This window comes from Homo sapiens, chromosome 6 (assembly GCF_000001405.40).
Source record: "Homo sapiens chromosome 6, GRCh38.p14 Primary Assembly".
Classification (NCBI taxonomy): Eukaryota; Metazoa; Chordata; class Mammalia; order Primates; family Hominidae; genus Homo; species Homo sapiens.
Window position 1 is genome coordinate 116,318,683 of NC_000006.12, and position 26,553 is coordinate 116,345,235.

At 38.6% G+C, this 26,553-nt stretch overlaps 1 protein-coding gene across 11 annotated transcripts in view, besides 2 other annotated features; it reads left to right on the top strand.

Annotated features, from left to right (window-relative positions):
* Nucleotides 1-26,553, top strand: part of DSE (dermatan sulfate epimerase) — a 190,691-nt gene that overhangs the window by 64,512 nt on the left and 99,626 nt on the right. The window lies entirely within an intron of this gene.
* Nucleotides 5,090-5,657: an enhancer, noted in NCBI's record as "OCT4-NANOG hESC enhancer chr6:116644935-116645502 (GRCh37/hg19 assembly coordinates)". NCBI's record gives its function as "activates a minimal SCP1, AML or CMV promoter by ChIP-STARR-seq in primed H9 embryonic stem cells {active_cell/tissue: H9 hESC(primed)}" and the evidence as "EXISTENCE:reporter gene assay evidence [ECO:0000049][PMID:30033119]".
* Nucleotides 6,680-7,181: an enhancer, noted in NCBI's record as "H3K4me1 hESC enhancer chr6:116646525-116647026 (GRCh37/hg19 assembly coordinates)". NCBI's record gives its function as "activates a minimal SCP1, AML or CMV promoter by ChIP-STARR-seq in primed H9 embryonic stem cells {active_cell/tissue: H9 hESC(primed)}" and the evidence as "EXISTENCE:reporter gene assay evidence [ECO:0000049][PMID:30033119]".

Here is a 26,553-nt window from a genome sequence, read left to right on the forward strand (position 1 = left end):
TTCAGCATCAAATTACCTGGCTAATTTAGAAATGAAGGGTTAAAAGTAAATAGAAAATGAGAAATTTAAAAATATTTTTTGGAAGGAAATACCCAAAGAGTAAAGTGAATTAAATCAGCTTCTTTTCTACTTGCTTATTAATAACAATAATAATGCTAACGTATCCTACAAAGCACATAGCAGAAATGTCTAAGAAAACTGTGTACCTAGTAAATATGTATTAACATGTTTACATATGATTTAAAGATGACTAAAATAGAGGACAGAATGCCCAAAACGCTCTTTTTCTGTTTAGGATGAAACCATTGAAAAAAATGCTTCAGTAGTCTCTTCTAGAAATTGAGGGGAATAGGCTAGGTCATCTCTAAACTCTCTTCAGTTCTAAGATTCTTTATTCTTTCTTTACTTTTTCTAAGCACTTTGACATAGTACTATCCATTTATTTTCAAGATGTTCATTGAAAAATAAATATTATAGGGAATAGATGAATAAACATGGCTAATTACTTAGAGGATTTCTCACAGATTAGTTAACATACACCCTTGTATTAGTCAGAGTAGATAGGTTATGCTGTAGTAACAAACCAACCTTTAATGCTCAGTGATATAAGACAACCAAAGCTTATTTTTAGCTAATTATACATATTTACTGTAAGCACGGGAACTCTGTTTTTGTAGTTATTCAGGGACACATGCTAACAAGTGTATATAGCCAAGCTATTCAAGTTTACCAATTATTGTGCTATAGGGAATGAGGAAATATGGTGAATCTAACACTGGCCCTTGAAGCCTCTGCTTACATTCCATTGACCAAAGCAAATCACATGGTCACATCTCACATGGAAAGAAGAGGCAGGGAAGTACAACTTAGAAGAGGTCTGAAGTGAACGTATTTGTTGAAAAACCCTAATGGATGTCATAAAACTAATACAATGTGAAATGAGAATCTGGTCATATCCTGGTCTTACTTAAAATCCTACACTGTAGTGCCTTATTATGGCCTTTGGGGTAAATATGTATCTTTGACATGGCCCTTGAGGCTCTGTTGATCTGACACTCACCTTCAAAACTTCATCTTTTGATTCTTCCCTTTTCGCTTTCTTCACTGCAGTCATGTTGGTCAACTCATCCAACATGTTGTTTTCATAAATATGTTCTTCTCCCTCCTGTTTACACATCTTTGCACTTCTGTTCAGTCTACCCACTATTCTATAAGCTGAATCCTACCCCCACCTTCACAACTCAGTTTAAACAGGACTAACTCTTGGTAACTGTCCCTGACTTTCTAGGAAAAGATCCCCTTTTATGTGTTCTCATAGCACCTGATGCATTTTCTCAGGATATAAGCTGTGTCTGTTTAACTCACCAACCACAGCACAATACCCAGCACATAATCAAACACTGAAATGTTTGTTGGCCAAATATGGGTTTTAGATTAGTGCCCAAAGATTACATTACCAGATTTCACAGAAAGAATAGACAGCTTTACCAGCAGAGCTGTTAGGAAAGGGACCAATACCAGGATTGCTTATATAAGAGGATGCGTAGCCAGATGCCTCCTAGGTATATATTTTATTGCAAAGGTTACTCTCAACATCAGAATGTGTTCCTGCTTAGTTCTACTTGTGGGACTTTCTGAATCTTGTTTTCTCCTTTGGTAAAAATGAGATTTTCTGGCAAGAATATGTCAATTTTTTTTTATCCTCCTTCAAGAGTCTAGGATGTATTTCTAGATAAAGAACTTATTAGATACTAGATAAGTCAGAAAATATAAACTATGCTTTGGAGAGAACAAAACAAAGGAGAGAACAGTGCAGGTTGGGGCAGGTGAAGGAGTCCTCCTTTAGGGAAGGAGGTGTATTAGTTTGCTTGCGCTGCCATAACAAAATACCATAGACTCAGTGAATTAAACAACAAAAATTTATTTTCTCACATCTGGAGGCTGGAAGTCAAGATCAAGGTACCAGCAGCATTGGTTTCCTCTCCTTTGCTTGAGGTGGCCACTCTATTGCTGCCTCTTCACATGGCCTTTTCTCTGTGCATGCACATCCCTGATGTCTCTTTCCTGTGTTCCAATTTTCTGTTCTTATAAGGACACCAGTGATATTGGATTAGGGTCTACCCTAACGACCTAATTTTAACTTAATTACCTCTTTAGAGGCCCTATATCCAACTACACTTAAACATTCTAAGGTACTAGGGCTTAGCATTTCAATATATGTATTTTAAGGAATACACAACTGAGCTCCTAACAGAAGGCAAAGAAGGAGTGTACTAAGGCGATGGAGAGATTGAGATAGAGCTGACATGCTGCACATGTCAGCAGGCTTGCTTGTGCTATGTGAGATTGTTGAATGGGTCACTGAAACATGACTTCCTTAGAAAAGCAGTTCTGCAACTCTTCTGTCTCTGCTCCATCTTCCTGGTATTGCTTCCCAGGTCACACTTTCAAATACTCATTTAAAAAAACCTACTTATTTATTTACTTATTTGTTTATTTATTTATTTTAGAGACAAGGTCTCACCCTGTTGCCCAGGCTGGAGTGCAGTTGTGTAAGCATAGCTCACTGCAGTCTTGAACACCTGTGCTCAAGTGATCCTCCTCTTGAGTAGCTGGGACTAAAGGTGTGTGCCACCATGTGTAGCTAATTTTTCATTTTTTTTTTTTTTTGGTAGGGATGGGGGTCTTGCTATCTTGGCCAGGCTGTTCTAAAACTCCTGGCCTCATGCAGTCCTCTTGCCTCAGCCTCCCAAAGCACCGAGATTTGACAAGCATGAGCTACTGCACCCAGCCCACAAAAACTCTTCTTATATTTACAGTTCCTGGCCAGGCACAGTGGCTCATGCCTGTAATCCCAGCACTTTGGGAGGCCGAGCAGGTGGATCACGAGTTCAGGCATTGGAGACCAGCCCAGCAAACATAGTGAAACCCCGTCTCTACTAAAAATAGAAAAAATTAGCCGGCGCCTGTAATTCCAGCTACTCGGGAGGCTGAGGCAGGAGAATCGATTGAACCCGGGAGGTGGAAGTTGCAGTGAGCCGAGATCGCGCCACCGCACTCCAGCCCGGGTGGACAGTGTGAGACTCCATCTCAAAATAAATAAACAAACAAATATTTACAGTTCTTTAAGTAGTGTCTGCCTTCTCCCCTATACTGTGTCATAAGGGCAGGAACTTTGTCTTTTTTGTTCACTACTGTACGTCTAGTACCTGACAATCAACATGCCGCAATTTTTTCACATGATAGTGTAGCAGGACGAGCCACAGACAAAACTCCTCAGACACCGAGTTAAAGAAGGAAGGGGTTTGTTCGGCCGGGGGCATCAGCAAGACTCCTGTCTCAAGAGCCGAGCTCCCCAAGTGAGCAATTCCTGTCCCTTTTAAAGGCTCACAACTCTAAGGGGGTGCGTGTGAGAGGGACGTGATTGATTGAGCAAGCAGGGGGTACGTGACTGGGAGCTACATGTACTGGTAATTAGATCAGAACAAAACAGGATAGGGATTTTCACAGTGCATTTCTATACAATGTCTGTAATCTATAGATAACATAACCGATTAGGTCGGGGTCGATCTTTAACTACCAGGCCCAGGGTGTGGCGCCGGGCTGTCTGCTTGTGGATTTCATTTCTGCCTTTTAGTTTTTACTTTTTCTTTCTTTGGAGGCAGAAATTGGGCATAAGACAATATGAGGGGTGGTCTCCTCCCTTAATAGAATAAGTGGAATATGATGTTAAATAAAAGAGATGAAGACCTGGATGTTCCCAAAGGTCTGTAGGCCTCAGCCAGCCTCCCAGAGGGAGCAGAGCCTCTGCCACTGAGTCTTTAGACAAACCTTTCCTTCCCCACCATCCCCAAAATTACTTCTGCCCCCCCACCCCAATTAAATAAGATTTACCTTTGGGACCTGTTGAATAAACCTGGAGTGATTTTTTAGGTTTCTGATTGCCTTCTTCCTAAAATATATCATTTCGTTGATGCTTAAAGTAAATAAAGAAAAAGTATTTCATTCCTCAACCAGTGATAAGATTTAAATGCAAACCTGTGATTGAAGCTGAGATTTCAATTTGTTGAAATGTAATCAGCCCATGTGCATGTGTAAATGACTCTCAACCAAGATTTTCTGTTTAAATATGGAGAGAAGAGAGAGAAGTGGCAGGGTAGAAGAGACTGCAGAATAATGTTTCAGAAGAGTAACTTCCCAGATTTGACACTGCACTCCATGTAGAGCAAGTTGGAGTGTTAGTGTAGAGAGCATTTTTTTGCTTCCTGGCTGTGGGAAGTCCTCCCCTAACCACCTGCAGAAAATAATTTATCCATGCAGGGAGCATAAGGGTCTTCCAGAAAAGAGAGCTGATAGTGGTTCACAGTATTTTGCGCTTTACTGGTCTGTGATTATGGAATCCCAGATTTGCAACAATTGAAGTCTGGTTTTGTTAATGTTATTCTTTAAGATGTCAGTGGAAACATTTCTCTCCCAGTTCCCTTGTAAAGTGAAAATTACACATCAGTTGTAAGCCAGCTTTTAAACAGATTTCTTTAAAATATGTATTTTTTTCAGTTGTAGCAATGTCATGTCATTTACCTTGTAAGAAATCCTATACTGAGAAATATAAGAGCTGAACATCTTTCACTGTGTTTCTTCACGACTGTACTCAATCTTATTAGATTCTTCTACTGTTAAGCTAATAATTAATTTGGATTTCTATTTTTTTATTGAGTAGTGAGATTCACATTTGACTTGCCAGAAAAATAAAAAACTTTTCAGTGGCAGCAAGGCAGATAATAATTACTTCTTGGACATTCGTTTAGCAGCCAGGTGCTATAGTGTGCTTTGTCTACAAATGTGCTTTTAAATGTTCTTATCGAAAAGTGTGTCCAGGAAAAACCTTTATATTATTATGATCTATTTTACTCATTTTAGTTCTAAGGGTAATGGAATTTCATGTCATTTGATTTGTAATGAACAACACAAAGATTTTTAAATATTCTGAAGAAAGTTTTGAAAATTTAAATCTAACAGAAAAGTAAGAAATATGTTTAATAGCATTTCAGGTATAAAATATACACCAAGAGAAAAAATTAAGTTGGCAATAAGTTATAGTTAATTTTGTATATGGTTTCTATAAGGGGAAAACAGGTCATTAGCCTGATCATGTGCATCTTTCCTGATACCTTTCTTCTCATTCCCTCTTCCATTATCTTCCCTCCACTTCTACCATCCTTCTTCAGCCAGGATATATTTTTAATGGCTGATTTATCCAACTCTTCTCTTTTTTTCTGGGCCCCCTAGTCAAACCTGCCCCACATAGTCAAACCACAACTCATTAACAACCCTCAGAGGCAAGGTAAGAGGACAAAAGAGAAAAGGAAGTGCCCACCTGTGAGATCTGAATTCAGCAGTTAATAGGTCCCCCTCTTACCCCTCACCCCAGGCTCCAAAGGGGCTTTCTTCGTATTAACATGTGGGAAACACAAGTCCCAAAGCTATGTCTGCTAGTAGGCTTTCCTGCTAATTTCACCATCATTTTATTAGACTTCACTTATATCTTACTTCATCAGCTTGCCATTGGCAGGTGGGCAGATTTTCCTCAGTTTTTGGCCTAACTCCAAGATATATACAACAGCAGGCAAGATCCAGGAAAGCAAAGGTATTTTGACTATTTTTCCCAGTTTGCTTTAATAGCTTAGGACAAGTAACCTGCTGGAAGGCAGCAGTTTAGATTATTGACAAGAATATGAGTTTGGAAGTCAAATAGTCACAGGTGAAATCCCAACTCCACCCCCTTGTAGCTGTTTGAATTGACTCCATGAGTTTTAGATCTTCATCAACACAAAGGACAGGGAAAGCACAATTGCTTTAGAATAGGATAGTTGCAGCGTACGTAGCTTTGGAACCTACATGAGATTCTGAGGGTTGTGTGCAGGGGTATATGTAAAATACAAAGAGAGCTGGCTTTGTTAAACAGCAATGGTAGAACAACCCAGGTGACCCGGAAGTTCATTATCCCCTCTCATTGGTAGCTCGAGGAGCCTGAGTTAGCTTAAGGAAAGAACAGGCTTCCATTTCAACTACTTCTTTCCATTGCATTGATGTTCACTGCACTTCTCTGTTCCTTATAATGAGTAGAATATTATAGGGGGAGAGTTTCACCCTTTTGGGGATGCATGCAGTCCATTTCTGCCTGTGTGCACTCTCCTATGTCTGTGCTTTTAAGTTTTCTCTGAGTTTATCCCATTTTATATTTGTACTATGAGGCACTGATAAGGAGTGCTAATGACTCCTTTGCATAACAGTTGGAGATTAGCTAGGGACACATACCACCCACTCTGGGGTTAGGTGTGTTTTGGGAAGCAGCAGAGTTTAACTGGTTCACCCAGGGTGGAAACAATCCTCCTTGGAAAGGCTGGAACCAGGTGGCTGCTAACCCCGAATCATGTCTGGTGGCATCATAGGAGTCCTTCAGACACCAAAGCCTCCAAACCCACAAGTCACTGGGAAAAGGTGGATTTTCTGCAAAAGAAAAACCCTGGCGAGTGAGACTCATGGTTGCCTAAATTTTCTAAGTCCCAAGACCTCACTTTCAGATGTTTCTTCCCCATGTCTGGGGTGAAACCATGCATGATTTTTGAAAAATGTCCACCACAAGTTGTGATGTGCACTCCAGGATGAGTACTGCATGATACATAATCTCCAAAGTTCCATCAGCTCTTTAGTTCTTGAGGTAGGTATCATCAGAAACATATGAGCTCCTTCCCTTTTGGATTAGAGGAATTGTACAAAATGATTTGTTTTTATCTTCTATCTTGCCTTCATCCCCAGATTTCTTGCAACTTTCATCATTTTTTTAATAAAACCTAATGTCCTGTGTTGCAACTGGAGTAGTAGGTAGGTGTTCTCCTGCCAAGTTAAGATGTTTATACAACGTCTGTTTGCCATACTAATGCATGCTGTGGAATTGTCTTCTGCCCTCCATGTAAGGACCACTTCTACCTTCTCAAATACATAACCCATGTATAGTTTGCTATCTGACTTATAGCAAGCATTCAGATATTTTCCTGGCCTATCACTATGTAGCAGGACGAGCCACAGACAAAACTCCTCAGACACCAAGTTAAAGAAGGAAGGGGTTTGTTCAGCCGGGGGCATCGGCAAGACTCCTGTCTCAAGAGCCGAGCTCCCTGAGTGAGCAATTCTCCTCCCTTTTAAGGGCTCACAACTCTAAGGGGATGCACATGAGAGGATCGTGATCGAGTGAGCAAGCAGGGGGTATGTGACTGGGGCTGCACGCACCAGTAATTAGATTGGAACAAAACAGGACAGGGATTTTCACAGTGCTTTTCTATACAATGTCTGTAATCTATAGATAACATAACCGATTAGGTCAGGGGTCGATCTTTAACTACCAGGCCCAGGGTGTGGCGCCGGGCTGTCTGCTTGTGGATTTCATTTCTGCCTTTTAGTTTTATCTTTTTCTTTCTTTGGAGGCAGAAATTGGGCATAAGACAATATGAGGGGTGGTCTCCTCCCTTAATTATAGTAACCAGAAGACAGGCCTCATCCTAGAGGAGCTCAGAGGGGAGGACGGCGGGAGTCCTAAGGAGTCATAGCCTCTAGAGACGAAAGGAAAATCTGAGGCAAGGGTTCTTTTCAGCTTTTTCTTTAACTCCCCCACCCCCCACCAAAAAACTTTCAAATATCTTAGGAGCTGCTTATGCCAAGAGTGATGAAATTTTTTGGCAGTTACTGTGATATTTGTGCCAGTTCACCTCCTTAGGGTATCTTGCTGATAAGATTTAAATGATGCCAACATAATGCTGTTGGACCATTTGTCTCTTTTCACTGTTTTGTGCATTTATCCCATGCTGCGGCACCACCGGCGTCTTCTGAATGGATACTGAGGCAGCCAAATCCTGACTCACTACAGTCCTACACTGTGTCTCTCTTGCTTGGCCGAGAAAACTGTTAGGTTCTCTCTTCATCTGTCAAATGTAAGGATATTAGGCACTCCCTGAAACTTAACTGCTGAGGTACAAAGCATGAATTTAGGTGAAGACTTAATGGAAAGAACAGCAAAATGTATCAAAATCTCTAAATAGGTGAAATAGTATGTAAGGGCAAAATGAAGCAGAAAAATTACTAGAGAGATGAGAATGTAAAATATTTTTCTTACTTCATTCTAGTAGAACAATCTATAAAGAGGGAATGCCTAAGTTAAAAATATAACTGTAAGTAGACTCTTCAAAATGATTAGGCAGGCAGTTAGATTTTCATGTTGCTTCACATTTATTAACCTTCACCCATTAGGCTGTTGTTGGGGTCATTTGTATGATCTTCAAATATTCAGGCCTTCTGTAGAAGCCTTCTAACTCGAGCGGAAATGGATGGCTTTCTCCTAGAGGGAAATTAAGGGGTCCAAAGATACTTAACAGTGCATACAGTAAAGAGAGAAAAAACAGGAAAAAGTCGAGGATTGGAATCTCCAGCTTATAGAGCTCCATTCTGCTCCAGAACAAACTCTGTTTTATTCAGTTACTTAGTTACACAGCACATCAGAGAGACTAAACTATTGACCCTTGAGGTACAGAAAAGAAGTGAGCCAAAGACTTTACGAGATTATTTCCTAGCAGAAAATTAAAATAAAATCTCACTGATTTCTCCATCTCTTCCATCATAAGGTGAACAGTAAGTAAAGGAAGTGGAGAGTTTAAGGGACAGCGTTAGGAAAAACTTCTGAGCTCCTACATGTGACCTGGATAATCATAACTTTAACCCTCAACTGCCTTTCCACCACCTATGATGTTGGGGTTTCAGAAAAGGTGGAATTGGAGGAGGATGGATTTTCTTGTCAAGATCTTGGGCAAATGATATGCTGAAAGAACCACAGCTGGAGTCCAGGGGTTACATAGAAGTCACTGGTATTACAGGATATTTGGAGGTCAAAACTTTAAAGTATTATCCATAATACTTGAATCCAAACTGCTCTTGGTAAATATTTCTGTTTGTTTCCGGTGAGCCCATTATTTGTTTATGCTTTCTGCCTCATTGGCCATTCTACATATTTTCTAGAAAATGTTCTATGATATATTTTACCTGCCTAATTTTGAGGGCAGTTGAAACCATTATGTGTGTTACTACAAAAACTGTGTTCTTACACAAGTAAATTTAGAGACACAACAGCTAAAAGTCTTTCTTTTAGCTGTTGTGGTATTTTCACTACTTTTAGTGTAAATTCAGGTCTGTTACTTAACATGGAGCTTCCGCCACAGAGGCCAGAGGAGCACATCAAAGCCAAAAGCACAGCAAGTCATCGGAGTTCAGATTCTTTTCTGCTTCCCTGCAGAGGGGTCAAGAATATAAACATACTCAACTGCTACAGCAGGAGGGAACATTAGCCCATCAACAGAACCAAACAGGAAGCACCAAATGGGCATTTCTTCTGTTTATTTTGTGATTATTAAGAAAGACGTAGTTTAGTTCCTTCAACCAAATTTGTCAATGAAACATAGAAAACATACAAGGTACAGTCATTTTGGTTAGGGGAGAGTCTGATTGTGAAAGGATTCAATGCTGTTTTTTCCAGTTATTTCACTTACTACAATGTATACAATAAGTTCTTAGGGTGTTGGAATTTAAAACTAATTAACATTTGTTACACTCTTTTGAGATTCACATTATGAGTCACTTAGATTTTAATCAAATTTCTCATACGTTTCCTTTCTGGACCGAGGAGACTGTGCACATATTGAGCAGAACAATTTTGCCTCCCTTCAGTTTGAGATGGGGTGCGAAGAGTTTCAGATACAGCCAGGAAATACCTCAAATGGCACTGCAGAGGTCTGTAAGACTGACCAAAATTTAAAATCTTGGTATATCCATTCCATTACATCAAAGTAAGTTCTAGTACTCCACTGCCAGTATCAGCAGATAATAAAAAATGACGCACATTGTAATGATTCAAGCAAGCCCAGTAAAGGAGCAAGAAGGAATGTAATATCTATTTTTGTGAAAGTTTCCAGAAATAAATCAACAAACCACTTTATTCTTCTTATAATTACTTGGAATCTCTTAATTCCAGAAGACTATCTGGCCTGCTGTTTAAAAGGAAGTGAGTGTTCCCTTTCAGCTTGCTTCACTATTTTTCTCATCCAGTCAGTGGTATGGGATACCAAGGATGGGATAAGGAGAGTAGTTCACCCCTAGTACAGGCAATAAGGGCTGCTTTGTGTGTAGAAAATTGAAAAGAAATAAAAATAAAATAATAATAAAAGCCAGTTCTGCTTACTACGCCTGGCAGTTCCGCTTACTATGCCTGGCAGTTCCAAGCAATATCAACAATACTACTCCTCTTTGAAAAATAAAAAAACTTTTGTTGGTCTAAGTTCTAAACAACTGCTGCAGTTGCTGAAATTTAACAAAACAAATGTAAGCTGAATATTACGTTTTTATTATTACTTATTATTTAATAAACATTGCATTCTATGTGGAAGTAATTCTAACTCTCAAATGCACATGGACTCAGCTATACTTGTTTATTTCAAGAATAAGCAGTCAAGTTCTGTTTCATTTTTATAATCACTCTGCTGTAATTGTTTATTTTTAGTCTGTGTTTAAATACAGGCTTACATAGTACCACAGGGACTGGAGATGTGACCTGAGCCTGAAGCAAGCTCAAATAATTCACAATCATTACAAGCTTTGGAGAATTTTACCAAATATGATAGAAATTTATGATGAATTTTCTGGTGAAGTTATTTTAGTGGAAATTTTTCAACAGCAGAAATATTTGAAAACTGCTGGAACTGATCCCAAAGAAAAAAGGATATGGGTAGTACTATAATTTCTGGAATTTATTGTGAAATGGGATTTGTATGAATCTGATGAATGTATTCTTATTTTAAAGATTTCATCACTATTTCCATATCTGTTATTTCACGTGAAACTTTTTGAAATTAAAATAAAAAATGTTCTTCAATCAACTATGAGTGATGTCAACACATCTGACCGCACTGATTTTACTGACCATGACTATATAAAGATTAATTTGACAAAGCATTGACAAATTTGCAAAAATTAATGCTCAAAGTCAGAAAACATAAAGTGATTATTCTTCACTGAGGCAAACCAGTATATAGGTATAAATATTTTTCTTTTCTTTTCTTTGAGATGGAGTCTTGCTCTGTCCCCAGGCTGGAGTGCAATGACGCGATCTCAGCTCAATGCAACCTCCGCCTTCCGGATTCAAGTGATTGTCCTGCCTCAGCCTCCCGGGTAGCTGGGATTACAGGCGCCTACCATCACGCCCAGCTGATTTTTTGTATTTTTAGTAGAGATGGGGTTTCATCATATTGGCCAGGCTGGCCTTGAACTCCCAACCTCAGGTGATCCACCTGCCTCGGCCTCCCAAAGTGCTGGGATTACAGGCGTGAGCCACTGCGCCTGGCCCATACTAATGTACTTAAAAAGTATTAAACCTTAACTTTTTGCATTTTCAGCTAAAATATATACTTTATTAATTTATTATTAGCATGATTACATAGTCAAAATTGAATAAATGAAAACTTTCACTGCCTGCATTTCTTTTCTGGACATAATTATTATTTGTTTCATTTCAAAATTATTACTGAAAATACTTTTATCATACAGAGGAAGGCGTATTAAAAATGGTCCCTTTCAGGCATCAAGTACCTAGCTATGCCACTGCATGCGTCTATTCATTTTAACTCAAAACAAAATGCATTTTTAATCTTTTTGGTATTACATATGTTTTTGACAATTATGCCAAAAAGCAATTTATTTTAATAAGGGAACTCTTAATAATCAAGAAATAGAAAGAGCTACCCTTAAATACAACTCTCAACTACCACCGATTTTGGTAATAACTATTTCTAGTTAATATATTTGATGTTTTGATTATTTTATTATAAGCTTAGTAGGATAAGAAAAATACAAAAAATACAACTGCATAAATCTCAACATGATGAAATAGAAATTATGACTATCTCCTTATGACTCAAAAAAGCTGAATCACTCATTTTAAACCTTCCAGTCTAGCAAATACCCTGATTTTATGCCTTTTCAGAAAACAGAAAAACAAAGATGTTCTCCAACCTAGCTTATAAAGTCAACACAACTTTGATATAAGAACATGAACATTAAATGATGAGGAAAAATTGCAGGCAACCTCAATCATGAACAGATATGCTTAAATTCTTAATATTAGATAACCATACAACATGTATATATGAAATGTCACAAGTTGAGTTTGTTGCAATTATGCAATGTTAGTTTAATATTAGAAAACTGAGAATTTATGACATTAACAGAATAAAGGAAAAAATTATATGATAATTGTACTAGATGCAGAAAAGCAGTTGGTTAAAGTAAGCATCTATTTATGATTAAAATACATCTTTGGGCAAACGAAGAATAGAAGAGAGCTTCTTTAATCAAATACAGGGTATCTACAAAACACCAATAATAAACACCATAGAAATACTGAAAACTTTCTTTCTGTGATCAGGAATAAGATAATAGTTGTATTAGTTCATTCTCTTGCTGCTATGATGAAATACCCAAGACTGGGTAATTTATAAAGGAAAGAGATTTAATTGACTCACAGTTCTGCAGGGCTGGGGAGGCCTCATGAAACTTACAATCATGGTGGAAGAGAAAGCAAACACATCCTTCTTCACATGGTGACAGCAAGGAGAAGTGCACTGCGAAGTGGGGAAAAGCCCCTTATAAAACCATCAGATCTCATGAGAAGTCACTCACTATCATGAGAACAGCATGGGGGAAATGCCCCTATGATCTAATCACCTCCCACGAGGTAACCCCCCAATATATGGGGATTACAATTCGGATTACAATTCAAGATGAGGTTCTGGGCGGGGACAGAGCCAAACCATATCAATAGTTACCAACATTTCTAGGCTACCTGCCACTGAAAGTCCTAATTAGTGTGGTAAGGAAGAAGAATTGAAAAGAACAAGTAGGCCGGGCACAGTGGCTCACGCCTGTAGTCCCAGCACTTTGGGAGGCAGAGGCAAGCAGATCACGAAGTCAGGGAATCGAGACCATCATGGCCAACATGGTGAAACCCTGTCTCTACTAAAAATACAAAAATTAGCTGGGCATGGTGGCACGCACCTGTAGTCCCACCTACTTGGGAGGCTGAGGCAGTAGAATTGTTTGAACCCGAGAGGCGGAGGTTGCAGTGGGCCAAGATGGTATCACTGCACTCCAGCCTGGCAACAGAGTGAGACTCCATCTAAAAGAAAAAGAACAAGTAAAACTGCCATTATTTGCTAAGACTATATATATAAAAAAACTCAAAGACTCTACAGATAGTTCTTAGAATTGAGTTTAATAAAATTGTATCCCAGCAACCTTGTTAAACTCAATTCTAATCTCGACTTGTAGATTTTAAAAATTTCATTTCTATGATGAGCAACAACAGAAAATAAAACTGAAAATAATCATAATAGGATCAAAAATATTTAAAACCTAAAAATAAATATTTTAGCAGTTGTAAAAGAAACATAAAACATTCCCAAGAGACATTAAAAAAGACAAATCAATGAATACTTGTACTACATTTATATATTGGAAGACTCAGCATTTTTAAAATGTTAATTTTCCTGAAACTGAGCTTTAGATCCAAAGAAATTCAAATCAAAATCCCAGTTGGTTTGTGTGTGTGTGTGTGTGTAAGAGAGACACAGGGAGAAAAGGAGTTTGAAACTCAATTCTTTAAAATATGAAAAAAAAATTAAGAGAAACAGGTATAGACAAGACACTCTTGAATAGGAGGGAAAAGGTAAGAGGAGTTGCTCTACTGGATATTAATACTTATGTCTGTGATAATTAGGATAGTACAGTATTGGGGTAAGAATAGACAAAAATCAGTGGAACAAATTGGAGTTTAGAAAAAAGACACATTTGAAATAAATTAAGTGTTTATATATTAAGCAGGACACACACAAAAAAGTACTTACAGTAAAGGAAAAGACTGATACTTAGAGTTAAAATTAAGAGCCTCAGTTTATGAAAAGACACCTTTAATTGGTAAAAAGTCAAGCTACATGGTAAAATATATTACATATGCAAGTCTTGTGCCTGGTATAAAGTACATCTACAAAGTAAATCAATATATAAAAAAATCCAATGAAAAATGGACAAAAAGACTTCAGGCATTTCACAAAAATAGATACCCCAATTGCCAGCAAGTATAAGAAAAGGTCTTTGATTTCTTTAGTAATCAGGAAAATGCAAATTAAAACCACAGTTATATACCATCAGACTTCCTTTAGAATAGCTAAACTTAAGAATCCTGATAATCTCAACTGTGGGAGAAAATATAGAGCACTAGGAATTCTTATTCACTGCTAATGTGAAAATTGGTAAATGTACTTCCTCAGGATAAAATTTTCAATGAAAACGGAATAGAATTTACATATATTCACATAAATTCATGCATCCCAGTGGAAAGCACTGACCTATTTTTTGTCTTGTCTTAGTCCATTTTCTGCTGCATAACAGAGTACCATAGACTTGGTGATTTATAAAGAAAAGAGATTTATTTGGCTCATGGTTCTGGAGGCTGGGAAGTCCAAGGTTGAGGGACCATATTTGGTGAGGGCATTCTTGTTGTATCATAACATGATGGAAGGCATCACATAGTGAGACAATGTGAGAGAGAGTGAGAGCATGAAACAGAGAAAAAGAGGGCCAAACTCCTGAGATAACTCACTTCTGTGATAATGACAATCCATGAAGAAAGTGCCCCCATGACTTAATCACTTTGTAAACTCCCCATCTCCCAATACCGTTACATTGGCAATTAATTTTCAACATGAGTTTTAGAGGGGATTTTCAAACCATAGCATGTCTCAACTGATCTTTATGGTATGTACATATCTACTTTACAGATGAGAAAAGTGAGGCTTCAGAAAGAGAAAGATTTTTAATAAATCCATGAATCTACTAAGTGGAAGAGCCACCATCTAAACAAGCTCTTTCTCATTCTCAACCACATATTCTTTCACCATGTTTATAAAAGCATCCTTTAAAAATATATCCTGTTTTTCCTTATACATTTATAAATTTCTCTTTAAATTTAAAAATATCACTTTAATTACATTACTTGATGCCTTTTGCTCCCTACTCAGAGGTAAGACAATGCAGTTTACAAAATATTGCAATTCTTGAGTCCAGGAGATCGAGGCTGCAGTGAGCCATGAATGCACCACTCCACTCCGGCCTGGGTGACAGAGCAAGAACCCCTCTCAAAAACAACCCTCCAAAATATTGCAATATGTGAAAGAAGTTTGACTCTTTGCTATACTGATCTCTCTCCTAGATGCTTTATTTTAATGTATTGTACTTAGTGAACATTGTCGTACTAATCTATTTACACATTTGTTTCCCACCATTAGATTATAATATTCTTGAGGACAAGTTCTTATCTTTGTGTCTCTGTATCTTCAGCATATCACACAATTGTCTGTTGAATGACTAGATGAGATTTTATTCTCAAGGCTTTGACTCAGAGTAGGCAAGTCCCCATTTCAACCCTTTTAAAGAAAGCTTGAAATCACTCTGCTACCTTCTAGCAGAGTTAAGGTCAAATCATATTCTGAAAGATAAAGGATTCTACCTTATTTTTCCATTTGAAGTGATTCCCAAATAATTCTACTCCCTGTTGGTCTCTTAATTCACGCAAAGCCCACATTTCACAAACTATATCCAGAGAATTAGGCTCTCTTTGCCAAAAATACTGTATTCGAAAATTTTCTCCCATTCTGTAGGTTGTCTGCTCACTCTTAATAGTTTCCTTGCTAGATCCCATTTGTTATTTATTTTTTTTGCCTTCATTGCAATTGCTTTTGGCATCTTCATCATGAAATCTTTGCCCATTCCTACGTCCAGAATGGTATTGCCTAGGTTATCTTCCAGAGTTTTTATAGCTTTGAGTTTTCCATTTAAGTCTTTACTCCATCTTGAGGAACTTAAACAAATTTACAAGAAAAAAGAAACCATTAAAAAGTTGGCAAAGGATATGAACAGACTTTTCAAAAGACATGAGTGCAGCCAACAATGATGAAAAAAAGCCCAACATCAATGATCATTACAGAAATGCAAATCAAAACCACAGGAAATACCATCTCACACCAGTCAGAATGGCTATTAAAAAGTCAAAATATAACAGATGCTGACAAAGTTGCAAAGAAGGAACCTCCCACTGTTGGTGGAAGTGTAAATTAGTTCAACCATTGTGGAAGACAGTGTGGCAATTCCTCAAAGACCTAAAGACAGAAATACCATTGGCCTCATTACTGTATATATACTCAAAGGAATGTAAATCACTCTGTTACAAAGACACATGCACATGTATGTTCATTGCAGCACTATTCACAATAGCAAAGACATGGAATCAACCTAAATGCCCATCAGTGATAGATTTGATAAAGAAAATGTGGTATATATACAACATGGAATACTATGCAGCCATAAAAAGGGACAAGATCATGTCCTTTGCAGGGACATGGATGGAGCTAGAGGCCATTATCCTTATCAAACTAACACAGAAAGAGAAAGCTAAATACCACATGTTCTCACTTGTAAGTGGGAGCTAAATGATGAAACCATATAGACACAAAGAGGGGAACAACACACACTGGAGTCTATGCAAGGGTGGAGGGTGGGAAGAGAGAGAGTGTTAGGAAAAATAACTCATGAGTACTAGGCTTAATACCTGGGTGACAAAAAAATCTGTACAACAAACCCCCATGACATGTTTACCTATGTAACAAAACTGTACTTGTACCCCTAAACTTAAAAGTTAAATTTTAAAAAAAGATATTTTCTTCTCCTTTGTTTGATTGTACTGTTAAAGACAAAATACAACAAATTTAGTTTGAAGATCTAATTGGCTTTTATTTGTGATTCTAGAATCAGGCAACACTTCATTCTATGAAACAGAAGTAGTGATCCACTGGATATGATAGAATGGTTGGTTTTTGTAAGGTGGGAATAAGACAACAGAACGATAAATAAAAGTGCATTGATAGCATAAGTTACTACAAGTCACTTTTCTTGTAAGAGTTAAAACAGAGAAGACCTCTTTATTATGCTGACTTAGGAAGATTGAGCTCTTTGACTAGTTGCTGTGAATCTCCTGTTTTCAGGAAAAACTGCTCTGTTTGGGGCTCTATCAGCTTCCTTAAAGTTCAGTTTGATTATGAGGCACTTTGCATGAGTGACACTATTTTGGTCTGGTCTGGTCTGTGGGAGTCTGGTGCAGAAGGCTGGTCCAAAACAATGGATTCCCATAAACTGTAACAGCACTTAGTCATAAACATCTCTTTCAGAATTATGTTCAGCATGTGAATGTCCCTGATGTCCATTTGTAGTCAGATATCAACTCCTTTGGAATCCAGGAAGAATTTTATTTTGACTACATTTAATGTAAATCTGTTTTACAGAAGAATTTAAAATATATATCTTGCAGTATATGAACAGAAGATACACTCCTATTGAAAAAGTTCTTGATGACATAGACAGAATCTAAATAGTTATCTAGCATTTAGTCTGCAAGCCTACAGAATGCTAGATAATGTGATACAGTTAATTTTAGCCAAAGTCTTGCTCATCTGAATGTAACAGTTATAATTTGTAAGAGTTGTGTTAAAGATAAGGCAGTATTATTTAAAAATTAGTACTATAATGCCACCTACCTGAGTGATACATGGTCTAATGTATTTGCTTGCATGTTTTAAAGAAAAAAGTAGGCCGGGCGCAGTGGCTCACGCCTGTAATCCCAGCACTTTGGGAGGCCGAGGCAGGCGGATCAGCCAAGGTTGGGAGTTCAAGACCAGCCTGACCAACATGCAGAAAACCCGTCTCTACTGAAAATACAAAATTAGCCAGGCATGGTAGCGCATGCTTGTAGTCCCAGCTACTCGGGAGGCTGAGGCAGGAGAATTGCTTGAACCTGGGAGGCGGAGGTTGCAATGAGCTGAGATCATGCCATTGCACTCCAGCCTGGGCAACAAGAGCAAAACTCCATCTCAAAAAAAAAAAAAAAAGGTAACATCAAATTCTATTAGTACAATTATATTGTGCTCAAAATATCTGACTATGTATTTTAGGCTAGGTTCATAGTCTTTGTAGCAAAAAATATTAATCTTACTAAATTCAGCTTTCAAGAATCATTAAATAATAATTTTATTGTCAGCACTATATGTAAGGCTACATTTCATGACTATAGATTCAAAGCAACAAAACAGCATGACTATAATGAGAATAGTTAATCATAGTGATTTATTAATAATGCCAGTGTTTACATTTTATCTCTTTTAATGCAATAATCCCATGAGCTGTAAGTACATTTTACTATCATTATCCCTATTTTACACATAAGAAACACAAAGCACAAAGAGTATTGAATATTAGCTGAATATCACATAGCTGATAAGTGGTAGAGCTCGTATATAGAGCTGACTCCAGAACCCTGGCTCCTCACTGCCATACTACAGTACCTCATATATATGAGGAAAATATATATAAGAAAAGTTGCTTTGTGTGAGATTTGCTTTAGCTAACTTTTACTACAGTATCATTATTTGTCATTTAAAATTAGAAATAGCTGGGCATGGTGGCTCATGCCTATAATCCCAGCACTTTGGGAGGCCGAGGCAGGTGGATCACGAGGTCAGGATTTCGAGACCAGCCTGACCAACATGGTGAAACACCGTCTCTACTAAAACTACAAAAATTAGCCGGGTGTGGTGGTGGATGCCTGTAATCCCAGCTACTCAGAAGGCTGTGGCAGGAGAGTTGCTTTTTAATCCAGGAGGCAGAGTTTGCAGTGAGCCGAGATCACACCATTGCACTCCAGCCTGGGTGACAGAGCAAGACTCCATCTCAAAAAATAAATAAATGAATAAATAAAATAAAACTAGAAACACTCTAATTGCGGCATTAATCCAGATAAATTGAAAAACATTGATATTACTGATGATTACAAAGAGTCTTGAGGTCAAATAAAAGATTTAGAAAAATTATGTTTTGATGAAGACAGAGTTCAGATATGTTACAGTAAAATGAGTTTACATACTTCTTATGACCATTATTAGTAAGCAAAAATGTGTAATTTTGTTTTTAAAAAATGGCACTGATGACATTGACTATAAGTTCATTCTATTCTAATTTATTTAGACTTTTTATTCCTGCATTCAGTAACACCCTTAGCAGTTTTGAGGGGCATTATGAAATTTGGTATGATTATGAAGACTATAACTTCAGAAACTAGAAGAAATTTGCAGTTACCTTGATTTTGTCAGGTAAGAGAAAGAACAACAACCACAGAGAATAAACTTCATCAGTTCTTTGCTCTAACAGGAGCTTTGTTATTCTTCATGTCTATGTTTGATACTCCGAATAACCTTCATTTTGCATCCTTTCTTTGTGCCTTCCTTTCTGTCTCTTTCTCTTTCTTTCTTTCTTTCTTTCTTCTTACCTTCTTTCTTCTTTCTTTTTTTTTTTTTTTTTTTTTTGACGGAGGTTTGCTCTTGTTGCCCAGGCTGGAGTGCAGTGGTGCAATCTCGGCTCACTGCAACCTCTGCCTCCCGGGTTCAAGCAATTATCCTGCCTCAGCCTCCCTAGTAGCTGGGAATACAGGTGCCTGCCACCAAGCCAAGATAATTTTTTGTATTTTTAGTAGAGACGGGGTTTCACTATGTTGCCTAGGCTGGTCTCAAACTCCTGACATCAGGCGATCCACCCGCCTCAGCCTCCCAAAGTGCTGGGATTACAGGTGTGAGCCACTGTGCCCAGCCTACTATGCATCCTTTCACAGTGAAATTTTTTAAATGTGGATCTCATGAATTTAGAGTTCATTATAATTCACAGACAGAACCAAAGATTACCTTTGGCTTAGGCGCAGAGAGAGTGGCAGGCTCAGCTAAGCAATTTGACTCACACCCAACCAGCAACTGCAGTTTTTGTTACCTAATGTGCAAAATCCACACAGCTTATTCTATTTACAAAGTTGTAAAGTGATAGAAAGCTTTTTCCATTTTCCAGTCAAGTGTTGTACAGGGTGTCAGCAGCATGTTTATTAAAACGAAGCAACTTCATGACAGTTAATCAAAATTCTCCAGCTTTCCATTGTCAAGAATCTCTGGACCTCTGAGGGCTTGCCCAGACATTTTTGCCCAGGTCCATGTGGAACTACAAGTTCCTCTATGCCTCCAAATAGCCAAACAGTGTCCCAGAAATGTTTGCTCCAATCTTTCTCTTATTTGTCTCATGCGCCCTGTGCTAGAAGCTCTGTTCATCTGTATCCATTTACTGGTAACATGCTCCTGTTCAACAGATAAATGAGTTGGTCTTCTTGTCTGTAACTGGCTGAAAAAGTGCAGGGTGAGATCTCCTCCACCCCAGTCCTGTCCGTCTGTTCATCATATTCCATGACCATGTGTCCTGATCTTTTCATCTCCCATAGCTGATGTGGCTACTCTATGCTTCCAAAAACTTACATAATGTTAAATCTTAGAACATTTACAAGTTGTCAGGGAACATGTACCCACCCAAAAGTAATAACATTCCCCCCACTTTTCTTCCTTTCTTTTTTTTTTTTAATCTCATGGTTTATTTCAGTGGAATTGAAAAAAGTAGCCAATTTTTTTCACAATTGGAATTTGGGGTTGATGAAGGGAACTGGTAAATACAGTTTGGAAAGCAATGTTCTGCTAAGAAATTCAGATTTTATGAGCCAAGGAAAACCATCATATCTTTTTGTTGTTGTTTTAATGTGAAAAGATCAGAGCTGTGCTTTAGGAATATTAATCTGACTACTATGTTTTGAATGAATTAAAAAGAGGAGAAAACAGAGTCATGAAATCCAGTTACTGCTGTAGGATCAATCTGGGTGAGCAAGTAATGAAAGCCTGAACTAGTGAAGCAGCAGTGGGAATGAAGAGGAGGGAGACAATGGTCAGTGGAATTCGTATGACTTGGCAATTGAGTTTATAGTTGAGGAAGAAGGAAATGTCAAAGGTAACAGGTTTTGAGATGTCTATTGCCCATTCCTGGTGCTAATAAAATTATAGAAATATGGAACAGAAGAAGAATCTCCATTCTGCATTTAGGATGTTAGTGAAACATCCACAAAGAGGTTATTAACCAGGCAATAGAAATATAGAAACCCTATTATAAGTTTTGAATGTCTCTTTACTGATGGACTATGAAAATAGATGGAATTTCTATATGCGAGTGTGGAGTATACAAAGATATGAATTGCATGGGATTTTAAAAGTCACTGAGAAAAAGGATTGAGGAAGGAACAAAGTAAAGAAACAGTCAAGTAGTGTGAGGGGACTCATGAGAGTACAGAATCACAGAGAGCCAGAGAGAAGAGTTTCAGGCAGAAGGTTTATCTGCTTGTGGTTTGTTGAGCTTCTTGAACCTGCAGATTAATGTTTTTCGTCAAATTTAGTATGTTTTCAGTCATTCTTTTTAAAAATATTTTTCTGTCTCCTTCTCTCTCTTGTTTCCTTCTGGAGCTCTCATTATATGTATATTGGTATACTTGATGTCCCACAGGTCTCTTTTCTTCAGCTGGGATAATTTCTGCTCATCTGTCAAGTTCATTGATTCTTTCTTCTGCCATTTTGAATATGCTATTGAGGGCTTCTAGTGAATTCTTCACTTCAGTTTTCAAATCCAGAATATGCATTTGGTTCCTTTTTCTAATTTCTATCACCTGAGAGTTTCTGTTTATTGATTCATTGCTGTCATTTTTTTTATTATTATTATTCTACTTTAAGTTCTAGGGTATATGAGCACAACGTGTAGGTTTGATACATAGGTATACATGTGTCATGTTGGTTTGCTGCACCCATCAACTTGTCATTTACATTAGGCATTTCTCCTAATGCTATCCCTCCCCCAGCCCCCACCCCCTGACAGGCCCTGGTGTGTGATGTTCCCCGCCCTGTGTCCAAGGGTTCTCATTGTTCAATTCCCACCTTTGAGTGAGAACATGTGGTGTTTGGTTTTCTGTCCTTGCGATAGTTTGCTCAGAATGATGGTTTCCAGCGTCATCAATGTCACTACAAAGGACATGAACTCATCCTTTTTTATGGCTGCATAGTATTCCGTGGTGTATATGTGCCATATTTTCTTTATCCAGTCTATCAATGATGGACATTTGGGTTGGTTCCAAGGCTTTGCTACTGTGAATAGTGCTGCAGTAAACATATGTGTGCACGTGTCTTTATAGTAGCATGATTTATAATCCTTTGCATATATACCCAGTAATGGGATTGCTTGGTCAAATGGTATTTCTAGTTCTAGATCCTTGAGGAATCACCACACTGTCTTCCACAATGGTTGAACTAATTTACACTCCCAACAGTGTAAAAGTGTTCGTGTTTCTCCACATCCTCTCCAGCATCTGTTGTTTCCTGACTTTTTAATGATTGCCATTCTAACTGACATGAGATGGTATCTCATTGTGAATTTGATTTGCATTTCTCTGATGGCCAGTGATGATGACCATTTTTTAATGTGTCAGCTGCATAAATGTCTTCTTTTGAGAAGTGTCTATTCATATCCTTCACCCACTTTTCGATGGGATAATTTTTTTCGTGTAAATTTGTTTGAGTTCTTTGTAGATTCTGGATATTAGCCCTTGTCAGATGGGTAGATTGCAAAAATTTTCTCCCGTTCTGTAGGTTGCCTGTTCACTCTGATGGTAGTTTCTTTTGCTGTGCAGAAGCTCTTTAGTTTAATTAGATCCCATTTGTCAATTTTGGCTTTTGTTGCAAAATGCCATTGCCATTTGCATTTTGGTGTTTTAGTCATAAAGTCCTTGCCCATGCCTGTGTCCTGAATGGTATTGCCTAGGTTTTCTTCTAGGGTTTTTATGGTTCCAGGTCTAACATTTAAGTCTTTAATCCATCTTGAATTAATTTTTGTATAAGGTGTAAGGAAGGCATCCAGTTTCAGCTTTCTACATTTGGCTAGCCAGTTTTCCCAGAACCATTTATGAAACAGGGAATCCTTTCCCCATTTCTTATTTTTGTCAGGTTTGTCAAAGATCAGATGGTTGTAGATGTGTGCTATTATTTCTGAGGCTTCTGCCTGTACCATTGGTCTATATATCTGTTTTGGTACCAGTACCATGCTGTTTTGGTTACTGTAGCCTTGTAATATAGTTTGAAGTCAGATAGTGTGATACCTCCAGCTTTGTTCTTTTTGCTTAGGATTGTCTTGGCAATGCGGGCTCTTTTTTGGTTCCAATATGTTAATTTTTAAAACATGGTTTATTTTAGTTATTTGAATGAAATAGAGTGAAATAGCTGCTTTTAAAAATAGCTGCTTAATATTTTTTTGTCTACAAGTTTAGCATTTGGGGACAACCAGAGACTATTTTTGTTCAATTATTTTTTTTCCTGAATATGGGTCACGTAATCTTGGTTTTTGCACATATTATAATTATTTTGTTGGAAAGTGGATATATTAGATAATATATTGTAGTAAGTTTGGATTCTAATTTTTTTTAACTTTATGAAGGCTATTATTGTTGCTGTTTTTTTTTTTTTTTCGAGATGGAGTCTTGCTCTCTTGCCCAGAGCCAGAGTGCAATGGCGCGGTCTTGGCTCACTGCAAGCCTCTGCCTCCCAGGTTCAGGTAATTCTCCTGCCTCAGTCTCCTGAGTAGCTGGGATTACAGGCACATGCCACCACACCTGGCTAATTTTTGTATGTTTAGTAGAGATGGGTTTCACCATGTTGGCCAGGCTGGTCTTAAACTCCTGACCTCGTAATCTACCCGCCTCAGCCTCCCAAAGTGCTGGGATTACAGGCATGAGCCACCGCACCTGGCCTATTTTTTGTTTCTTTAAGTAACTTGCCTGGGCAAAATTTGTAAAAACCTTTTTCTCTGCCATTTGCACATGCTGATATTTCTGCTCAGTTAAAATATATACATACAGGAGAGGTTCCAAGATGGCCAAATAGGAATAGCTCCAGTCTACAGCTCCCAGCATGAGTGATGCAGAAGACAGGTGATTCCTGCATTTCCAACTGAGGTAGCAGGTTCATCTCACTGGGGCTTGTTGGACAGTGGATGCAGCCCACGGAGCAGGGCGGGGCATCGCCTTACCTGGGAAGCGCAAGGGGTCAGGGAATTCCCTTTCCTAGCCAAGGAAAGCCATGACAGATGGTACCTGGAAAATCGGGACACTTCCACCCTAATACTGCGCTTTTCCAATGGTCTTAGCAAATGGCACTCCTGGAGATTATATCCTGTGCCTGGCTCCGAGGGTCCCACGCCCACGGAGCCTCACTCACTGCTAGCACAGCAGTCTGAGATTGAACTGCAAGGTGGCAGTGAGGCTGCGGGAGGGGCGTCTGCCATTGCTGAGTCTTGAGTAGGTAAACAAAGCCACTAGGAAGCTCAAACTGGGCAGAGCCCACTGCAGGTCAAGGAGGCCTACCTGCCTCTGTAGACTCCACCTCTGTGGGCAGGGCATAGCTGAACAAAAGGCAGCAGAAACTTCTGCAGACTTAAACGTCCCTGTCCAAAAGCTCTGAAGACAGTAGTGGTTCTCCCGGCATGGAGTTTGTGATCTGAGAATGGACAGACTGCCTCCTCAAGTGGGTCCCTGACCCCCAAGTAGCCTAAATGGGAGACACCTCACAGTAGTGGCTGACTGACACCTCATACAGCCAGGTCCCCCTCTGCGACAAAGCTTCCAGAGGAAGCATCAGGCAGCAACATTGGCCATTCTGCAATATTTGCTGTTCTGCAGCATCCACTGGTGATACCCAGGCAAACAGGGTCTGGAGTGGACCTCTAGCAAACTCCAACAGACCTGCAGCTGAGGGTCCTGACTGTTAGAAGGAAAACTAACAAACAGAAAGGACATCCACACTATCACCATCATCAAAGACCAAGGGTAGATAAAACCACAAAGATGGGGAGAAACCAGAGCAGAAAAGCTGAAAATTCTAAAAATCAGAGTGCCTCTTCTCCTCCAAAGGAATGCAGTTCCTCGCCAGCAACAGAACAAAGCTGGATGGAGAATGACTTTGATGAGTTGAGAAAAGAAGGCTTCAGACGATCGGTAATAACAAACTTCTCTGAGCTAAAGGAGGGTGTTTGAACCCATCACAAAGAAGCTAAAAACCTTGAAAAAAGATTAGATGAGTGGCTAACTAGAATAAACAGTGTAGAGAAGACCTTAAATGACCTGATGGAGCTGAAAGCCATGGCATGAGAACTACGTGATGCATGCACAAGCTTCAGTAGCCGATTTGATCAAGTGGAAGAAAGGGTATCAGTGATTGAAGATCAAATGAATTAAATGAAGTGAGAAAAGTTTAGAGAAAAAAGAGTAAAAAGAAACGAACAAAGCCTCCAAGAAATATGGGACTATGTGGAAAGACCAAATCTACATCTGATTGGCATACCTGAAAGTGACAGGGAGAATGGAACCAAGTTAGAAAACACTCTTCAGGATATTATCCAGGAGAACTTCCCCAACCTAGCAAGGCAGGCCAACATTCAAATTCAGGCAATACGGAGAATGCCACAAAGATACTCCTCCTGAAGAGCAACTCCAAGACACATAATTGTCAAATTCACCAAAGTTGAAATGAAGGAAAAAATGTTAAGGGCAGCCAGAGAGAAAGGTTGGGTTACCTACGAAGAGAAGCCCATCAGACTAACAGCGGATCTCTCGGCAGAAACTCTACAAGCCAGAAGACAGTGGGGGCCAATATTCAACATTCTTAAAGAAAAGAATTTTCAACCCAGAATTTCATATCCAGCCAAACTAAGCTTCATAAGTGAAGGAGAAATAAAATCCTTTCAGACAAGCAAATGCTGAGAGATTTTGTCACCATCAGGCCTGCCTTACAAGAGCTCCTGAAGGAAGCACTAACCATGGAAAGGAACAACCGATATCAGCCACATGCCAAATTGTAAAGATCATCAATGCTAGGAAGAAACTGCATCAACTAATGAGCAAAATAACCAGCTAACATCATAATGACAGGATCAAATTCACACATAACAATATTGACCTTAAATGTAAATGGGCTAAATGCTCCAATTAAAAGACACAGACCGGCAAATTGGATAAAGAGTCAAGACCCATCAGTGTGCTGTATTCAGGAGACCCATCTCATGTGCAGAGACACACATAGGCTCAAAATAAAGGGATGGAGGAAAATCTACCAAGCAAATGGAAGACAGAAAAGCAGGGTTTGCAATCCTAGTCTCTGATAAAACAGACTTTAAACCAACAAAATCAAAAGAGACAAAGAAGACCATTACATAATGGTAAATGGATCAATTCAACAAGAAGAGCTAACCTAAATATATATGCACCCAATACAGGAGCACCCAGATTCATAAAGCAAGCCCTTAGAGACCTACAAAGAGACTTAGACTCCCACACAATAATAATGGGAGACTTCAACACCCCACTGTCAACATTCGACAGATCAATGAGATAGAAAGTTAACAAGGATATCC